A 16,920-nucleotide genomic window follows, 5' to 3' on the forward strand; every position below is an offset into this window, starting at 1 on the left:
CTGCCCTTTCTCTCTCTCTGTGACTCTGCCTGGGGGCTGGGCGGGCCAGGGCAGCCCCTCACTGCCATTGCCTGCTCCACAGGGTCCTCCGGCGCCCAGGGCAGTGGTGGTGGCAGCACGAGTGCCCACTATGCAGTCAACAGCCAGTTCACCATGGGCGGCCCCGCCATCTCCATGGCGTCGCCCATGTCCATCCCGACCAACACCATGCACTACGGGAGCTAGGGGCCCGCCCCGCGGACTGACAGCACCAGGAAACCAAATGATGTCCCTGCCCGCCGCCCCCGCCGGGCGGCTTTCCCCCTTGTACTGGAGAAGCTCGAACACCCGGTCACAGCTCTCTTTGCTATGGGAACTGGGACACTTTTTTACACGATGTTGCCGCCGTCCCCACCCTAACCCCCACCTCCCGGCCCTGAGCGTGTGTCGCTGCCATATTTTACACAAAATCATGTTGTGGGAGCCCTCGTCCCCCCTCCTGCCCGCTCTACCCTGACCTGGGCTTGTCATCTGCTGGAACAGGCGCCATGGGGCCTGCCAGCCCTGCCTGCCAGGTCCCTTAGCACCTGTCCCCCTGCCTGTCTCCAGTGGGAAGGTAGCCTGGCCAGGCGGGGCCTCCCCTTCGACGACCAGGCCTCGGTCACAACGGACGTGACATGCTGCTTTTTTTAATTTTATTTTTTTATGAAAAGAACCAGTGTCAATCCGCAGACCCTCTGTGAAGCCAGGCCGGCCGGGCCGAGCCAGCAGCCCCTCTCCCTAGACTCAGAGGCGCCGCGGGGAGGGGTGGCCCCGCCGAGGCTTCAGGGGCCCCCTCCCCACCAAAGGGTTCACCTCACACTTGAATGTACAACCCACCCCACTGTCGGGAAGGCCTCCGTCCTCGGCCCCTGCCTCTTGCTGCTGTCCTGTCCCCGAGCCCCTGCAGGTCCCCCCCCGCCCCCCCACTCAAGAGTTAGAGCAGGTGGCTGCAGGCCTTGGGCCCGGAGGGAAGGCCACTGCCGGCCACTTGGGGCAGACACAGACACCTCAAGGATCTGTCACGGAAGGCGTCCTTTTTCCTTGTAGCTAACGTTAGGCCTGAGTAGCTCCCCTCCATCCTTGTAGACGCTCCAGTCCCTACTACTGTGACGGCATTTCCATCCCTCCCCTGCCCGGGAAGGGACCTTGCAGGGACCTCTCCCTCCAAAAAAAGAAAAAAAGAAAAAGAAAGAAAAAATAAATGAGGAAACGTGTTGCAGCACAGGCAGTTTTCTTCTCCTTCTGCTCCCCTGTTTCTCATACCCCCAAACTCAGATGCTGGAGCTCAGGCCCGCCGTGTGTGCACCCAGGCAGGAGCGGGCGCTGTCCAGGCTGGGCCGCCCCCTTGGCTCTCCCTCCTGTTCCAGGGGAGCCATAGGAGGGAAAGCAGGTGGCCCGGGGGGGATATGGGGGCCCCAGCCCTGTCCCAAAGCTCCCTGCTCGGCTGCCCCTCGCCCGCCTTTATATAAATTCTCTGAATCACCTTTGCATAGAAAATAAAAGTGTTTGCTTTGTAAGAAAAGTCTGGAAAGTAGCAGAATCATCTCAAGGTGTCAAAGGAGCCTTCAGTCATCGTCTGGGGGGCAGGACAGGCAGAGGGGTTGGTCCACTTAGGTGTTGCCTGAAAGAAAGAATTGTCTGGGAGTGGCCCCAGAACCTCTCGCCTTGACTGGGAGTGGGAGGGCAGCCCCCTTAGCCCAGCTGGGAATAGTCCTTACCTGTGGGACCCGGGCCTTCCTAGGAGGGGGCCAGGGACTGCGGCAAGGTAGGGGACAGCGCGATGTTTGAGGGCAGAGATGTGATTTGGGGTGGAGGAGCCACGTTCTCCGGAGGCAGCGACTGGAAGAAGTACAACTGCACAAGACCCCTGGGGTCAGAGGCAGGGCCAGCCCATGCCCCCCTAGCCCCTCGGCCCCACCTGTGGCCACCCCAGACCCGTACCTTACAGCCCATGGCCAGGAGGGCGTGGAGCAGCACGACCACGGACAGCAGCACTGTGGCCACCAGCCTGGTGTCCTCACGGACCACGGGCCAGAGGGTGAATACCAGCCCGGCGGCTGACAGGCCCAGGGCCAGCGCCCCAAAGAGCCACTGCAGCCAAGGCACAGGGATGAGCCACAGGACCTGGGAGCAACACGGCGGCAGGTGACCATGCCAGTCCCCCCAGCCACCACCCACTCTGCACCAGGCCACCCTCACCACCATGGGAATGAGGCGGCAGGTGACCATGCCAGTGTCCCCACACAGCCACCACCCACTCCGCGCCAGGCCACACTCACCACCATGGGGATGAAGACAAAGAGGGAGTAGCCGTAGATGCACACAGTCTCCAGGAAGGTGTAGGGCCCCATGCGCTCCTGGACACCCTTGCGCCACCGCAGGAAGCCCCACAGGGCCAGGGGCACCAGCCACGCATAGCAGTAGATGCTGATGCCTGCCACGGTCACTGGGGGGGGCAAGGTGAGCAGTCACCCCCTGTACCCCAGGGCCCTGCCAGGCATTGGGCCTGCCCGTCTGCTTACCCTTGTGGAACTGGGGGCTGTAGTGGATGGAGGGGTCCCTCCTCTGGGCCAGCACCAGCGTCAGGTTGCCAGTGACGGCCAGGACAAAGGCCAACGTGGCACAGATCCAGAAGGGGCCTGGGGGTAGGGGGCACAGTCAGGGTCCCGGGCCCTGCACTCCCAGGACAAGCAGACATGTATCCTGACTGAGCTGTGCTGAGACCCCAGCCTCTTCCTAAGCACCTTGCCTGACTCACCAGGACACCGGGGGCCTCCTGGTGGCTGAGCCCAGTGCTGGCTGTCAGTTCATCCCCCTCCCCGAAACACTCAGGACTGCACACCCTTGGCCTGTGTCTCACCTCATTGGTGCCAATTCCTCAACCCCTGTCACCTCCTCTTTGACTCTCTGACCCCTTCAGCCATGGGGAGCAGCCAGGCCCAGTTCTTGGCCCCTTCCATGTCTGCGTTCACCCATAGTATGACCTCCTTCAAGCCCAGGGCCTTATGCCTCCTCTAGAGCCCAGGGCTCTGCCCTGAGCACTGCAGGCTCCAGTTCAAGCTCCCGGGTGGGCATCTCCGGCTTCATCCACACCCTTGCCCTCTGCCCTCACTGCCAAGCTGGTCCCGTGGATACGTGGCAACTCTATCCATCCCGTTAGTCCAGGCAGAAATCCCTAGAGCCTGCCTCCGCTCCTAACCTCCCACTCCCCCCACCCCCACCTATCTAGCCACAAAGCCAGTCTCTTCTACTTCCCCAGCACGTTCCAGAATCCAGTGCCACTCTCCACATCCACAGTCCCCACCATGTGGCCGCCTCCACCCCAGCCTCCTGGCTTCCGCCCTCGCCACTCATGATGGCGAGAGGGACCCCGAAAACACTTAAAGATCCATTCTCGGCCAGATAACAGTGACTCACACCTGTAATTCCAGCACTTAGGAGGCCGAGGCGGGTGGATCACCTGAGGTCAGGAGTTTGAGACCAGCCTGGCTAACACGGTGAAACTCCGTCCCTAATAAAAATATAAAAATCAGCCGGGCATGGTGGCACGTGCCTGTAATCCCAGCCACTCAGGAGGCTGAAGCAGGAGAATCGCTTGAATGCGGGAGGGGAAGATTGCAGTGAGCTGAGATCACATCACTGCACTCCAGCCTGGGTGACAGAGTGAGACTCTGTCTCAAAAAAAAAAAAAAAAGATCTCTTCTTGCCACAGCATGGGAGGCTTGTGTGATCTGTCCCCTCGCCTGTGACCTCCCTGCAGCTCACTCGCTCCAGTGGTAATGCCGCCCTGCAGTTCATGCAAGTTCCTGCCATGAAGCTTACGTCGTTTCTGGAAGCCTCTTTTCCTAGGTCTCCCCCACCCCTCCTGTTGCCAACAAGGCTCATTCCCTCACCCTCCTCAGGGAGGCCTGCCCTGCTGCACCCTGCAGAACTGCAGGGCCACTCCTCCTGTCTGCTCTGCTGCTCTCTACCCGCCACCCTCTGCAGTCCTTCATGTCTCTGTCTCCCTGAACAGCAGGTAAGTCACACTGTCTGAGTGACTGATTTGTCCGCAGCTATACACTGGCATCTGCAACTCAGGCCACACTTGTTGAGTGATCCATCAAGGAACCAAATGCACAACCTCACTCACCATACAGATCCGGCCGATTCCGCAGATGGTGCCGCACAAAGTTGTGGCCAGGCCGGGGCAGCAGTGAGCCTTTGATCCGGTCCAGGACCTGGGGGCAAGGCCAAGGTCAAGGATGGAAGTCTGCCAGGAGCTTCTCCCTTGTCCTGAGAGGCTCCTTCCCTGCTGACCTCCACCCTTCTCTTTCCATGCCCCACCTGAAAGAACTCAGCCTTTCCCTCTCTTTTTTTTTTTTTTTTTTTTTGAGACAGAGTCTTGCTCTGTCGGCCAGGCTGGATGGAGTAGTGGCATGATCTCGGCTCACTGCAACCTCTGCCTCCCGAGCTCAAGCAATTCTCCTACCTCAGCCACCCGAGTAGCTGGGATTACAGGCGTGTGCCACCACGCCTGGCTAATAGTTGTATTTTTAATAGAGACGGGATTTCACCATGTTGGCCAGGCTGGTCTCGAACTCCTGACCTCAGGTAATCCACCCACCTCGGCCTCCCAAAGTACTGGGATTACAGGCGTGAGCCACCGTTCCCAGCCCCCTCTTTTTTTTCCCTCTTTTTTTTTTTGTTTTGAGACGGAGTCTCGCTCTGTCACCCAGGCTGGAGTGCAGTGGTGCCATCTCGGCTCACTGCAAGCTCCGCCTCCTGGGTTCACACCATTCTCCTGCCTCAGCCTCCCAAAGAGCAGGGACTACAGGCGCCCACCACCACCCCCGGCTAATTTTTTGTATTTTTAGTAGAGATGGGGTTTCACCGTGTTAGCCAGGATGGTCTCGATCTCCTGACCTCATGATCCTCCCACCTTGGCCTCCCAAAGTGCTGGGATTACAGGCGTGAGCCACCGCACCCGGCCTCAGCACCCCCTTTTTCTTTTTGAGACAGAGTCTCACTCTGTTCAGGCTGGAGTGCAGTGGCACGATCTTGGCTCACTACCACCTCCGCCTCCCAGGTTCAAGTGATTCTCGAGCCTCAGACTCCTGAGTAGCTGGGACTACAGGTGTGTGCCACCATGCCTGGCTAATTTTTGTATTTTTAGTAGAGATGGGGTTTCACCGCGTTGGCCAGGCTGGTCTCCAACTCCTGACCTCAAGTGATCCACCGCCTCGGCATCCCAAAGTGCTAGGATTACAGGCGCCGACCACTGCACTTGGCTAATTTTTCTATTTTATTTTATTTTTTATTTAATTTTATTTTATTTATCTTATTTTATTTTTGAGACAGAGTCTCATTCTTTTTGCCCAGGCTGGAGTGCACTGGCACGATCTTGGCTCACTGCAACCTCCGCCTGGCGGATTCAAGCGATTCTCCTGCCTCAGCCTCCAGAGTAGCTGGGATTACAGGCGCCCACCACAAAGCCCGGCTAATTTTGTTGTATTTTTAGTAGAGACGGGGTTTCACCATGTTTGGCCAGGCTGGTCTCAAACTCCTGACCTCAGGTGATCCACCCACCCAGGCCTCTCAAAGTGCTGGGATTACAGGCATGAGCCACCCCGCACCCGGCAGTTTTTGTATTTTTGGTAGAGACGGGGTTTCCCCATGTTAGCCAGGCTGGTCTTGAACTCCTCAGGTTATCTGCCCACCTCGGCCCCCTTAAGTGCTGGGATTACAGGCAGGAGCCACTGCGCCCAGTCCATCTTTGGTCTTCTGCATATGCTGTTCCCTGTGCCTGGAACATATACTCCTGCTTCCCTACCCTATTCCCCAGGGAAGCCTTCTGTCTCCTTTAGGTCTCAGCCAATTCCTCACCTCCCCCAGGAGGCCTTTCTCTAACCCACCAGATTGTGTGTGTCCCCTGTGTTCCCATAGTCCCGATCCATAACCAGTCCCACCATAACCCTTTGAGAGCACCACAGTTCGTTCACCAGCACCCACCATCACCAGCACCCTGCCCAGGGGAAGAGTGGCTGAACCCTGAGCATAACTCTGAGCCCCATCCCACCTGCCTCCCCAGCCTGACCTGTGAGGTGTCCACGTCAAAGAAGCTCTGATAGTAGCTGAAGGTCCAGAATCCCGGCTGCTGCTGCTGCTGCTGCTCCTGCAGGAGCTGCACATTGCGGGCATTCAGTGCCTGCCCGGAGAGCCTGGGTCAGCTGGGGGCTGCAAGGAGGCAGGACACAGGGACTCACCGCGGCCTTGTCACTCTCCTCCTCCACCTCATCCTCGGCTCCATAGCTGCCACCTGAGCCCACGGCCACAGCCACGTGCCCTTGTGGGGTCAGCTGATCGCTTCTGCTGGTGGTGGCTGCATCTGGGGTGTCAGCCAGAAGATTAGTGGCCTCCTCGAATTCTGTGGAGGAGGTATATGGGACACACGCACGTTTGAGGGGTGGAAAGAACTCGACTGGGCCCAAGCTAAACCGATGCTCATCTGGGGGCGGAGGCTCTGCTGAGCCATTGATCTCCCCCAAGGTGGGGCCCAACTTCCTCAGTTTGGAGGCATCCGGAGGACATCTGTTCCCTTCCTCCTAAAGTGGAACTGCAACTTAGGGTTGACGCTGGGATGGGGTCAGGGTCTGGGGACGAGAGGCTCGGGTTTGAGGTCTGAGTTCAGGGCGGGGGCGGGGTTCGAGTCAGAGATGGGTCTCACTCCTGGGTCAGGGTTCACAGCCGCCTAGGCTTCGGGGTAGAGAAATTGGAAGCCGTATCGGGGGGAGGTTCTGGCCCGGGGCGGGAGTGGGAGATCCGGCCACGTCGGGGCCGCACTCACCATGGAAGGTCAGCTCGTCGGCCGATGCCATGGTCGTTCAGGGGCGTCTCCGCATCCCTCGCTGAGGACAGAGACCGGTCAGGCACACTTCCCCCCCGCCCCCGAGCCGGTCCCTCGGCCCCCAGCCCTACCTGGCGACCAACTGCACCCACGGAGGCTTGAACTCGTCGTCCCGTCCCCACAGGTGCGCTCCGCCCCCCCTCACCTGAGGCCACCTGGGCCGGCGTGGCTGGGGCTCTCTGCGCCTGCGCGTCTCGCCTACCCGTCAGACTCCAACCGACTCAGACCTGACAGCAACATCCGGCGCCTGTCCTCTTTCTATCCTCTCCCGTTGGGAAGCCACTTCCGGTAAAGTTGGCGCTTGCGCAGAAGAGACTCCCGGGCTCTTAACGTCGGGTATCAGGAGTTTCTTCCCGGAGCAAGGACCCCCAAGACGGAAGAGGATGGCCGCGGCGGCTCTGAGGAGATTTTGGTCCCGGCGCCGCGCAGAGGCGGGCGACGCGGTAGTGGCGAAGCCGGGAGTGTGGGCGCGGCTGGGTGAGTAGCGGCGGAAGGCGGCAGGGTGGGTGGCCGCCGCGACAGGGTGGGTGGCCGCCGCGGCCGGATCACTCTTACCGCGCTCCTCTCCCCTCAGGGTCCTGGGCCCGCGCGCTGCTCCGGGACTACGCCGAGGCCTGCAGGGACGCTTCGGCGGAGGCTAGGGCCCGGCCGGGGCGCGCCGCTGTGTATGTGGGTCTGCTGGGCGGCGCGGCGGCCTGCTTCACGCTGGCGCCCAGCGAGGGTGCCTTCGAGGAGGCGCTGCTGGAGGCGTCGGGGACCCTCCTGCTGCTGGCGCCGGCCACCCGCAACCGCGAGTCCGAAGCCTTCGTGCAGAGGCTGCTCTGGCTGCGGGGCCGTGGCCGCCTGCGCTACGTCAACCTGGGGCTCTGCTCGCTGGTGTACGAGGCGCCCTTCGACGCCCAGGCCAGCCTCTACCAGGCGCGTTGCCGCTACCTGCAGCCCCGCTGGACCGACTTCCCCGGCCGGGTCCTGGACGTGGGCTTCGTGGGTCGCTGGTGGGTGCTGGGGGCCTGGATGCGCGACTGCGACATCAACGACGACGAATTCCTGCACCTGCCGGCGCATTTGCGGGTGGTCGGGCCCCAGCAGCTGCATTCCGAGACCAACGAGCGGCTCTTCGATGAGAAGTACAAGCCTGTCGTGCTCACCGACGATCAGGTGGACCAGGCGCTGTGGGAGGAGCAGGTCTTGCAGAAGGAGAAGAAGGACAGGCTCGCCCTGAGCCAGGCCCACTCGCTGGTGCAGGCGGAGGCCCCGAGATGAAACCCTGAGGCCCCCGAGTCCTGGCAAACTGCTTGCCTGGGGTGGTGCAGTTCTGAGTGTGCCTCACCTGCAGAACAGCTGAGACAGATGATGTGCAAAGTGTTTTCTCACTGGATTTGCACAAGTTTGGGGAGCCTTTCTGCCCCCCGTCTTTGTTCTTTATTAGCTGAAGCTAATTCAGAGCCACCTGGGTCCGGGAGTTGGGGACAGCAGAACGACTTGACACATGTTCATCACTGGCAGAGCTGGTCATGAGCCTTTTATATAAGCCTTTTTCATCGGGCCTCAGAGGCCCTCCTTAAGGAGGTACCACATTGGTCAGCTGACTTGCAAACTCTTCTAAGGCCACTTAGATTTTCTTTTTCAAGTTTGGGTTGTGGCCTGGCATGGTGATGTCTGTAATCCCAGCAGTTTGCAAACTGAGGCAAGAGAATCGCTTGAGGCCAGGAGTTTGAGGCCAGCTAGAGTGACATAGCAAGACTCCGATGCTACAAAAAAGAATAATAATAGTAATTAACTAAATAAAATTTGAGCTGAAATGTTTTTATTCTATGACCTATTCTCTCTCGTTTTTTTTTTTTTTTTTTTTGAGACAGGGTCTTGCTCTGTTTTGCCTGCTGGAGTGCAGTGGTGCAATCTCGGCTCACTGCAACCTCTGCCTCCCAGGTTCAAGTGATTCTCCTGCCTCAGCCTCCTCAGTAGCTGGGATTACAGGCCTGTGCCAACATGCCTGGCAAATTGTTGTATTTTTAATAGAGATGGGGTTTCACCATATTGGCCAGGCTGGTCTTGAACTCCTGACCTCAGGTGATCCACCTGCCTCGCATTTCCAAAGTGCTGGGATTATAGGAGTGAACCACCACACCTGGCCTTTCATTTTGATAAGTAACATTTTTGCCATTCCCAGCTCTTTGGAAGGCTGAGGTAGGAGGATTGCTTGAGATCAGGAGTTCAAGACCAGTTTAGGTAAAATAGTGAGAGCTTTCTCAAAAACTAAAATATTTGGAAGGGTAAAGCAGGCAAATCATTTGAGCTTAGGAGTTCAACACCAGCCTGGGCAATATGGCAAAACCCCGTCTCTACAAAAAGTACAAAAATTTACCAAAGGTGTTGAATGAGAATTGAAAATATGTATACATAGAAAAATTAGCCAGACATGTTGGACCATGTCTGTAGTCCCAGCTATTCAGGAAGGCTGAGATGGGAGGATCACCTGAGCCTGGGAGTTCAACGCTGCAGTGAGCCACGATCGTGCCACTGCACTCCATCTTGGACAACAGAGTGAGACTGTCTCAAAAAGTAAAATAAGTGGATGGGCCCGGTGGCTCAAGCCTGTAATCCCAGCACTTTGGGAGGCCGAGGCAGGTGGATCACGACGTCAGGAGATGGAGACCATCCTAGCTAACACGGTGAAACCCCATCTCTACTAAAAATTCAAAAAAATTGGCCGGGCGCGGTGGCTCACGCCTGTAATCCCAGCACTTTGGGAGGCCCAGTCAGGTGGATCACGAGGTCAGGAGATCGAGACCATCCTGGCTAACATGGTGAAACCCCGTCTCTACTAAAAATACAAAAAATTACCGGGGCGTGGTGGCGGGCACCTATAGTCCCAGCTACTCAGGAGGCTGAGGCAGGAGAATGGCATGAACCTGGGAGGCGGAGCTTGCAGTGAGCCGAGATTGCGCCACTGCACTCCAGCCTGGGCGACAGAACAAGACTCCGTCTCAAAAAAAAAAAAAAAAAAAAAATAGCTGGGCGTGGTGGCAGGCATCTGTAGTCCCAGCTACTCAGGAGGCTGAGGCAGGAGAATAGCGTGAACCCGGGAGGTGGAGCTTGCAGCAAGCAGAGATTGCACCACTGCACTCCAGCCTGGGCAACATAGTGAGACTCCAGCTCAAAAAAATAAATAAATAAGTAACATTTTTGTTTTGATTTTTTTAAGTTTTTTTTTGAGACAGAGTTTCGCTCTTGTTGCCCAGGCTGGAGTGCAGTGGCACTCGCCCCAACCACCGCCTCCTGGGTTCAAGCGTTTCTCCTGTCTCAGCCTCCCAAGTAGCTGGGATTACAGGCGCATGCCACCACGCCCGGCTAATTTTTGTATTTTTTAGTAGAGATGAGATTTCATCATGTTGGTCAGGCTGGCCTCAAACTCCTGACCTCAGGTGATCCGCCTGCCTCAGCCTCCCAAAGTGCTGGGATTGCAGACGTGAGCCACCGTGCCCGGCCCTCGTTCCCTATTAAAAATACAAAACCAGGCAATTGACAGTGTCATGACTATTGGGATGTTACAGGGAAGTTTTTTGTAAAACAACCTGTTTACCAGATGAGCATTGTAAGTTACTGGAGGTGGCTTGGAAGGATAAAGCATTTTCTGGTCTGGAAATCTATATGGAATCATAGATTCTGGTTATGTTGTACTTCAGTAACCCTGAAACAGAATTCTATGAAAAGAAGTAAGTTAGTGTACACAGCTGGTACTTAGCTAGGTTATGGTAAATTGTATTTTTGTTGTTGTTGTTGTTGTTGAGACAGAGTCTCACTCTGACACCCAGGCTGGAGTGCAGTGGCACGATTTCGGCTCACTGCAACCTCTGCCTCCCAGGTTCAAGTGATTCTCTTGCCTCAGCCTCCTGGGTAGCTGGGATTACAGGCATATGCCATGATGCCCAGCTAGTTTTTGTATTTTTAGTAGAGATGGGGTTTCACCATGTTGGCCAAGCTGGTCTCAAACTCCTGACCTCAAGTGATCCTCCCACCTCGGCCTCCCAAAGTGCTGGGATTATAGGTGTGAGCCACTGCGCCCGGCCAATATTTTTTTTTTTTTTTTTTTTTTTTTGAGACAGAGTTTCACTCTATTGCCTAGGCTGGAGTACAGTGGCATGATCTCGGCTCACTGCAGCCTCTGCCACCTGGGTTCAAGCGATTCTCCTGCCTCAGCCTCCCAAGTAGCTGGGATTACAGGCATCTGGCACTGCGTCCGGCTAATTGTTGTATTTTTAGTAGAGACGGGATTTCACTATCTTGGCCAGGCTGGTCTTGAACTCTTTGTGATCCACCTGCCTTGGCCTCCCAAAGTGCTGGGATAATAGGCGTGAGCCACCACACCCGGCCTCAATACTTTTTATTTTTTTTAAGTGTAATTTATGGCCGGCGCAGTGGCTCACACCTGTAACTACAACACTTTGGGAGGCCAAGGTGGGAGGATCGCTTGAGTCCAGGAGTTCGAGACCAGCCTAGGCGACATGGTGAAATCCTGTCTCTACAAAATACACAAAATTACAAAATACACAAAAATTAATCGGGTATGGTACACACCTGTACTACCAACTATTCAGGAGGCTGAGGTGGAAGAATTGCTTGAGCTTGGGAGGTTGAGGCTGCAGTGAGCCAAGACTGCATCACTGCACTCCAGCCTAGGTGACAGAGCAAGCCCCGTCTCAAAAAATTAATAAGGCTGGATGCGGTGGCTCACGCATGTGATCCCAGCACTTTGGGAGGCTGAGGTGGGTGGATCACAAGGTCAAGAGCTCAAGACCATCCTGGCCAACATGGTGAAACCCCGTCTAACAAAAATTAGCTGGGCGTGGTGGCGCACGCCTGTAATCCCAGCTACTTGGGAGACTGAGGCAGGAGAATCACTTGAACCCGGGAGGTGGAGGTTGCAGTGAGCCGAGATCACGCCACTGCGTTCCAGTCTGGGCAACAGAGTGAGACTCCGTCACACAAAAAAAAAAAAAGAGAAAAAATAAATAACATAAAACTGAAGTATTAAGGGAGTGATGCTACCTCAGGGGCCTGTGGCAAGTTAATAAAACCAGGTGGTAAAACAACTATCTTTGTTTGTGATACTTGTTTTTGTGTGTTTGCTACTTTCAAATTTTGGCATTTGACCCTTGCATTCATAATCAGTGGGTTGAACAGGTGTTGGTTTAAGTCAGCATCTCACTTTTACAGAGGAAAAGCTGAGGTTCAGAAAATTTATTTTTCCAAGGCTGTGGCAGGACCAAGATTCGAACTGTAACTCCCAGCTCTGTGACTTAATCCTCAAACTTGTGGACTTTGATCCTAATAATTCTTGTCAGAAATAGTTAAATACTGCTATCAGTTGCCATAAATAAAAATTGGATATAGAAATACATATATAAAGCCGGGCGTGGTGGCTCACGCCTGTAATCCCAGCACTTTGGGAGGCCGAGGCGGGCAGATCACAAGGTCAGAAGATCGAGACCATCCTGGCTAACACAGTGAAACCCCGTCTCTACTAAAAATATTTAAAAAATTAGCCGGGCGTGGTGGCAGGTGCCTGTAGTCCCAGCTACTCGGGAGGCTGAGGCAGGAGAATGGCGTGAACCCGGGAGGCGGAGCTTGCAGTGAGCGGAGATCGAGCCACTGCACTCCAGCTTGGGCGACAGAGTGAGACTTGTCTCAGAAAAAAAAAAAACAAAAAAAAAAACCAGACATATATAGGCTGGGTGCAGTGGCTCACGCCTATAATCCCAACACTTTGGGAGGCCGAGGTGGGCAGATCATCTGAGGTTGGGAGTTCGAGACCAGCCTGACCAACATGGAGAAACCCCATCTCTACTAAAAGTACGAAATTAGCCAGGCGTGGTGGCACATGCCTGTAATTCCAGCCACTGAGGAGGCTGAGGCAGGAGAATCGCTTGAACCCGGGAGGTTGTGATGAGCTGAGATCGTGCCATTGCACTCCAGCCTGGGCAACAACAGCAAAACTCCCTCTCAAAAAAAAAAAAAAAGAAAAAAGAAAAAAAGAAATACATATATAAAAAAGAAATGCAATAAAACCAAAAGACACAGCCTGGATAACATAGCAACACCTCGTCTCTACTAAAAATAAAAATAGGCCAGGTGTGGTGGCTCACATCTGTAATCCCAGCACTTTGGGAGGCCAAGACGAGTGGGTCACCTGAAGTTAGGAGTTCAAGACCAGCATGGGCAACATGGTAAAACCCCGTGTCTATTAAAAATACAAAAAATTAACCGGGCATGGTGGCAAGCACCTGTAATCCCAGCTACTCGGGAGTGAGCCGAGATCATGCCATTGCACTCCAGCCTGGGCAACAAGAGCAAAACTCCGTCCCAATAAATAAATAAATAATAATTAAAAAAAAAATAGCCAAGTGAGACGGTGTGTGCCTGTGGTCCCAGCTACTTGTGAGGCTGAGGTGAGAGGATCCCTTGAGCCCAGGAGTTTGAGGCTGCAATGAGCTTGGTCATGCCGCTGCACTCCATCCTGGGCCACAGAGTGAGACACTATCTCCCCTCTAACCCCCAAAAATGAAAGGAAACAAAAGACGTCGAGATGATACTAACTAAATGCTATCTCTACACCATTACCTGCCAAAAATCTCTGTCCCCAAATCTGCCCTCTGTTAGACATTAGCCAACTTCAGGGAAGGGTTTTAAGGTGTCATCAAAGACACTTGTTTCTCATTGATCAGAAGTATTGGAAAGGGTCCACACCATCATTGCTTGAGTCAGTTATTAAATGCCACTTTTGACTTCTCGCCAGGGTGTGTTCCAGGAAGATCATCTGAAGCTGCTGGGAGCTTGAAGCTGAGGGCAGTGGTCGGCGCTGTTGGTAGGAATTGTGGAGCTTGGGCAGCCTGAAGGCTTTGTGTCTTGGCTTTGGGCAGAGGGTCAGCTTTTCCCAGAGGTCTCACTGTACTTCAGCCCATGCTCTGGTGTAAGGCAGAGGACAGGAGGCATAAGTGGGCTTTAAAGCCAGGATTTGGAACTCAGCTTTTACACTTCCTTGCTTTGTGAGTGAAGTCACTTCTCCATGCTTTGGGCTCCTTATCTCTAAGTGTGGGCTTGTCAGAAAAATTTAAAAGCCCACTAAAGCACTTGGTACAGAGTAGGCATTCACAGTCTGTGGTGCGGCTGTGCAGGGAAGATTATGGCTCCGAATCCATGCTGTGACCTTCCTAAGTGGTTGTGGAGGGGCTGATGCACCCTGCCTAGTGGTGCAGGGCCACCATGTAGGGAGGGCCCAATGTCTGATAGGATAGAGCCAAGGCACGCTTCTTTCTCAGATCCAAGTGACAGCCGAATCTAATATGAACATTTCTGAGTTCTCCCCCACACCTTGTTTTCAGGGACGGTCTCACTCTCTCTCCCAGGCTGGAGTGCAGTGATGCAATCTCAGCTCACTGCAACCTCGACCTCCCTGGACTCAAGCTGTCCACCCACCTCAGGCTCTCAAGTAGCTGGGACTACAGGTGTGCACCACCATGCCCAGCTAACTTTTGTGTATTTTTTTTGTAGAGACAGGGTTTCGCTATGTCACCCAGGCTGTTCTCGAACTCCTGAATTCAAATGATCTTCCCACCTCGGCCTCCCAAAGTGCTGGATTACAAGTGTGCATCACTGCACCCGGCCTGAGTTCTCCCTTGAAAAAAAAGGCGGGGGCGGGGGGGAGCAGTTTGGAGATAGGGTCTCGCTGTGTCACCCAGGCTGGAGTGCATTAACGACCCATTGCAGCCTCGACCTCTTGGATTCAAGCAATCCTCCCACCTCAGCCTCCCAAGCTGCTGGGACCACAGACACACACCACCACACCGGCTAATTTTTTAAGTTATTTGTAGAGATGAGATCTCACTGTGTTGCCCAGGCTGATCTCAAACTCCTGGGCTCAAGTGATTTTCCTGCCTCAGCCTCCCAAGGAAATAAAATATTCTTGGATTCTTGGTTAGCTTTAATTATTTCCGCTTTCCAGGCTAGCCCAGGAGTTGCCCTCCAGCACGTCCTTTGAAAAGTACTTTTCGGCCGAGCGTGGTGGCTCACGCCTGTAATCCAAGCACTTTGGGAGACCGAGATGGGAGGATCACCTGAAGTCAGGAGTTGGAGACCAGCCTGACCAACATGACGAAACCCTGTCTCTACTAAAAATACAAAAATTAGCCGGGCATGGTGGTGGGCGCCTGTAATCCCAGCTACTCAGGAGGCTGAGGCAGGAGAATCACTTGAACCTGGAAGACGGAGGTTGCCGTGAGCCAAGATGGTGCCATTGCACTCCAGCCTGGGAGACAGAGCAAGACTCCGTCTTAAAAAAAAAAAAAAAAGTATCTTTCCCACTGTTGTGATTAGAAAGACCAGCAGAGGGCATCAGAGACTTAGTTCGGAGACAGAACGTAGCTGATTCCATCCTGCCTTACTTAGCCCCCATGGAATGGCTCAACGCAGGTTCCTTTTGTCCGCGGGCAGCAGCAAGTGGAGGTCGTGCAGCTTCCACTTGCACCAGTTTACTGTGCCTTGGAATTGGATAGATGATGGCAGAAGTCGAGGCCCCACGGAGGGGCCACCTTCATCTCTGGAACCTGCACCTTTACCTACTTATGTCCACAAAAAGAGTCAGACTCTGAATCTTTTTTTGTTTTTTTTTTTGTTTTGTTTTGTTTTGAGACGGAGTTTTGCTCTTGTTGCCCAGGCTGGAGTGCAATGGCACGATCTTGGCTCACCGCAACCTCTGCCTCCCGGGTTCAAGCGATTCTCCTGCCTCAGCCTCCCAAGTAGCTGGGATTACAGGCATGAGCCACCATGCCCGGCTAATTTTTTGTATTTTTAGTAGAGACGGGGTTTCTCCATGTTGGTGAGGCTGCTATCAAACTCCCAACCTCAGCTGATCCACCCACTTCGGCCTCCCAAAGTACTGGGATTACAGGCGTGAGCCACCGCGCCTGGCCCAGACTCCGAAAATATCTGAAGAGATTTATTCTGAGCCAAATATGAGTAACCAATGGCCTGGGACACAGCCCTCAGGAGATCCTGAGAACATGTACCCAAGGTGGTTGGGGCATAGTTTGCTTTTATACATTTTAGTGAGACATGAGACATCGGTCAATATGTGTAAGATGGGCTGGGGGTGCCCTGGCTCACACCTGTAATCTCAGCACTTTGTGAGGCCGAGAGGGGCAGATTGCTTGAGCCTAGAAGTTCAAGACCAGTCTGGGCAACACAGTGAGACTCTGTCTCTACAAAAAAATACAAAAACTAGCCAGATGTGGTGGTGCGTGCCTGTAGTCCCAGCTACTTGGGAGGCTGAGGTGGGAGGATCACCTAAGTTAGAGAAGTTGAGGCTGCAGTTGACCACGCTGATCTCGAACTCCTGGCCTCAAGCAATGATCCTGCCTCAGCTTCTCAAAGTGGTGGGATTATAGACGTGAACCACCACACCCAGCCAACAGAAGTTCTTTGTTTTTTTTTTTTGGTCCCAAACTTTACCGTTGACAACCGAAGTATTTTAAAGCAAATCCCAGATATCCTGTCATATTACCCCTATAATTTCATTTTCTTTCTTCCTTTTTTTTTTTTTTTTTTTGAGACAGATTCTCGCTCTGTTGCCCAGGCTGGAGTGCAGTGGCATGATCTCGACTCACTGCAACCTCCCAGGTTCAAGCAATTCTCCTGTCTCAGTCTCCTGAGTAGCTGGGACTACAGGTGCACGCCACCACGCCCAGCTAGTTTTTGTATTTTTAGTAGAGACAGAGGTTTCACCATATTGGTCAGGCTGGTCTCGAATTCCTGACCTCAGGTTATCTGCCCCCTTTGGCCCCCCAAAGTGTTTGGATTACAGGTGTGAGCCACCACGTCTGGCCTATAATTTCATTTTCTTATATCATGACACTACCATTATCACACCTATCAAAGTCCACAATTATTATTTGGTATCATCTGATATTACATTTCCCTGAGGATCTCAAAAGTGTCCTTTTACACTTGGTTTGTTT

At 54.2% G+C, this 16,920-nt stretch overlaps 3 protein-coding genes across 15 annotated transcripts in view, besides 6 other annotated features; 2 read left to right on the forward strand and 1 right to left on the reverse strand.

Annotated features, from left to right (window-relative positions):
- The window catches only part of CARM1 (coactivator associated arginine methyltransferase 1), a 51,523-nt gene extending 49,980 nt beyond the window's left edge, over positions 1 to 1,543 (forward strand). For all 5 annotated transcript variants that reach the window (NM_199141.2, NM_001370088.1, XM_047438058.1 and 2 more), the window contains one exon: positions 83 to 1,543. In NM_199141.2, coding sequence (NP_954592.1) covers positions 83 to 225 — 143 coding nt within the window. In that variant the 3' untranslated portion in view covers positions 226 to 1,543. The remainder of the gene's footprint in view (positions 1 to 82) is intronic.
- Positions 661 to 7,107, reverse strand: YIPF2 (Yip1 domain family member 2). Of its 9 annotated transcripts, none has more exons than NM_024029.5 (10): positions 7,053 to 7,107; positions 6,848 to 6,908; positions 6,267 to 6,427; positions 6,098 to 6,184; positions 4,154 to 4,241; positions 2,544 to 2,660; positions 2,301 to 2,467; positions 1,963 to 2,145; positions 1,740 to 1,875; positions 661 to 1,642 (listed from the first exon to the last, which is right to left on the reverse strand). In NM_024029.5, the coding sequence occupies exons 2-9, from the start codon at positions 6,876 to 6,878 to the stop codon at positions 1,759 to 1,761; spliced, it is 951 nt and encodes a 316-aa protein (NP_076934.1). In that variant the 5' UTR covers positions 6,879 to 6,908; positions 7,053 to 7,107; the 3' UTR covers positions 661 to 1,642; positions 1,740 to 1,758. The 9 variants fall into 9 exon arrangements, with proteins under 9 accessions (NP_076934.1, XP_024307467.1, NP_001308368.1 ...); XM_024451699.2 differs by having other exon boundaries at positions 661 to 1,659; NM_001321439.2 differs by having other exon boundaries at positions 6,979 to 7,107.
- Positions 5,738 to 6,440: an enhancer, noted in NCBI's record as "H3K27ac-H3K4me1 hESC enhancer chr19:11037946-11038648 (GRCh37/hg19 assembly coordinates)". NCBI's record gives its function as "activates a minimal SCP1, AML or CMV promoter by ChIP-STARR-seq in naive H9 embryonic stem cells {active_cell/tissue: H9 hESC(naive)}" and the evidence as "EXISTENCE:reporter gene assay evidence [ECO:0000049][PMID:30033119]".
- Positions 6,441 to 7,141: an enhancer, noted in NCBI's record as "H3K27ac-H3K4me1 hESC enhancer chr19:11038649-11039349 (GRCh37/hg19 assembly coordinates)". NCBI's record gives its function as "activates a minimal SCP1, AML or CMV promoter by ChIP-STARR-seq in naive H9 embryonic stem cells {active_cell/tissue: H9 hESC(naive)}" and the evidence as "EXISTENCE:reporter gene assay evidence [ECO:0000049][PMID:30033119]".
- Positions 7,279 to 8,722, forward strand: TIMM29 (translocase of inner mitochondrial membrane 29). The gene is made up of 2 exons (NM_138358.4): positions 7,279 to 7,384; positions 7,482 to 8,722. The coding sequence occupies exons 1-2, from the start codon at positions 7,291 to 7,293 to the stop codon at positions 8,168 to 8,170; spliced, it is 783 nt and encodes a 260-aa protein (NP_612367.1). The 5' UTR covers positions 7,279 to 7,290; the 3' UTR covers positions 8,171 to 8,722.
- Positions 7,355 to 7,634: a silencer, noted in NCBI's record as "silent region_10095". NCBI's record gives its function as "represses an Ori minimal core promoter by ATAC-STARR-seq in GM12878 lymphoblastoid cells {active_cell/tissue: GM12878}" and the evidence as "EXISTENCE:reporter gene assay evidence [ECO:0000049][PMID:35858748]".
- Positions 7,675 to 7,724: a silencer, noted in NCBI's record as "silent region_10096". NCBI's record gives its function as "represses an Ori minimal core promoter by ATAC-STARR-seq in GM12878 lymphoblastoid cells {active_cell/tissue: GM12878}" and the evidence as "EXISTENCE:reporter gene assay evidence [ECO:0000049][PMID:35858748]".
- Positions 14,542 to 14,873: a silencer, noted in NCBI's record as "fragment chr19:11046750-11047081 (GRCh37/hg19 assembly coordinates)". NCBI's record gives its function as "represses an EF-1alpha promoter that drives an FKBP-Casp9 reporter gene in an ReSE screen in phorbol 12-myristate 13-acetate-treated (for megakaryocytic differentiation) K562 erythroleukemia cells {active_cell/tissue: K562(+PMA)}" and the evidence as "EXISTENCE:reporter gene assay evidence [ECO:0000049][PMID:32094911]".
- Positions 15,803 to 16,302: an enhancer, noted in NCBI's record as "H3K27ac hESC enhancer chr19:11048011-11048510 (GRCh37/hg19 assembly coordinates)". NCBI's record gives its function as "activates a minimal SCP1, AML or CMV promoter by ChIP-STARR-seq in naive H9 embryonic stem cells {active_cell/tissue: H9 hESC(naive)}" and the evidence as "EXISTENCE:reporter gene assay evidence [ECO:0000049][PMID:30033119]".

Source organism: Homo sapiens, chromosome 19 (assembly GCF_000001405.40).
Source record: "Homo sapiens chromosome 19, GRCh38.p14 Primary Assembly".
NCBI classification, from domain to species: Eukaryota; Metazoa; Chordata; class Mammalia; order Primates; family Hominidae; genus Homo; species Homo sapiens.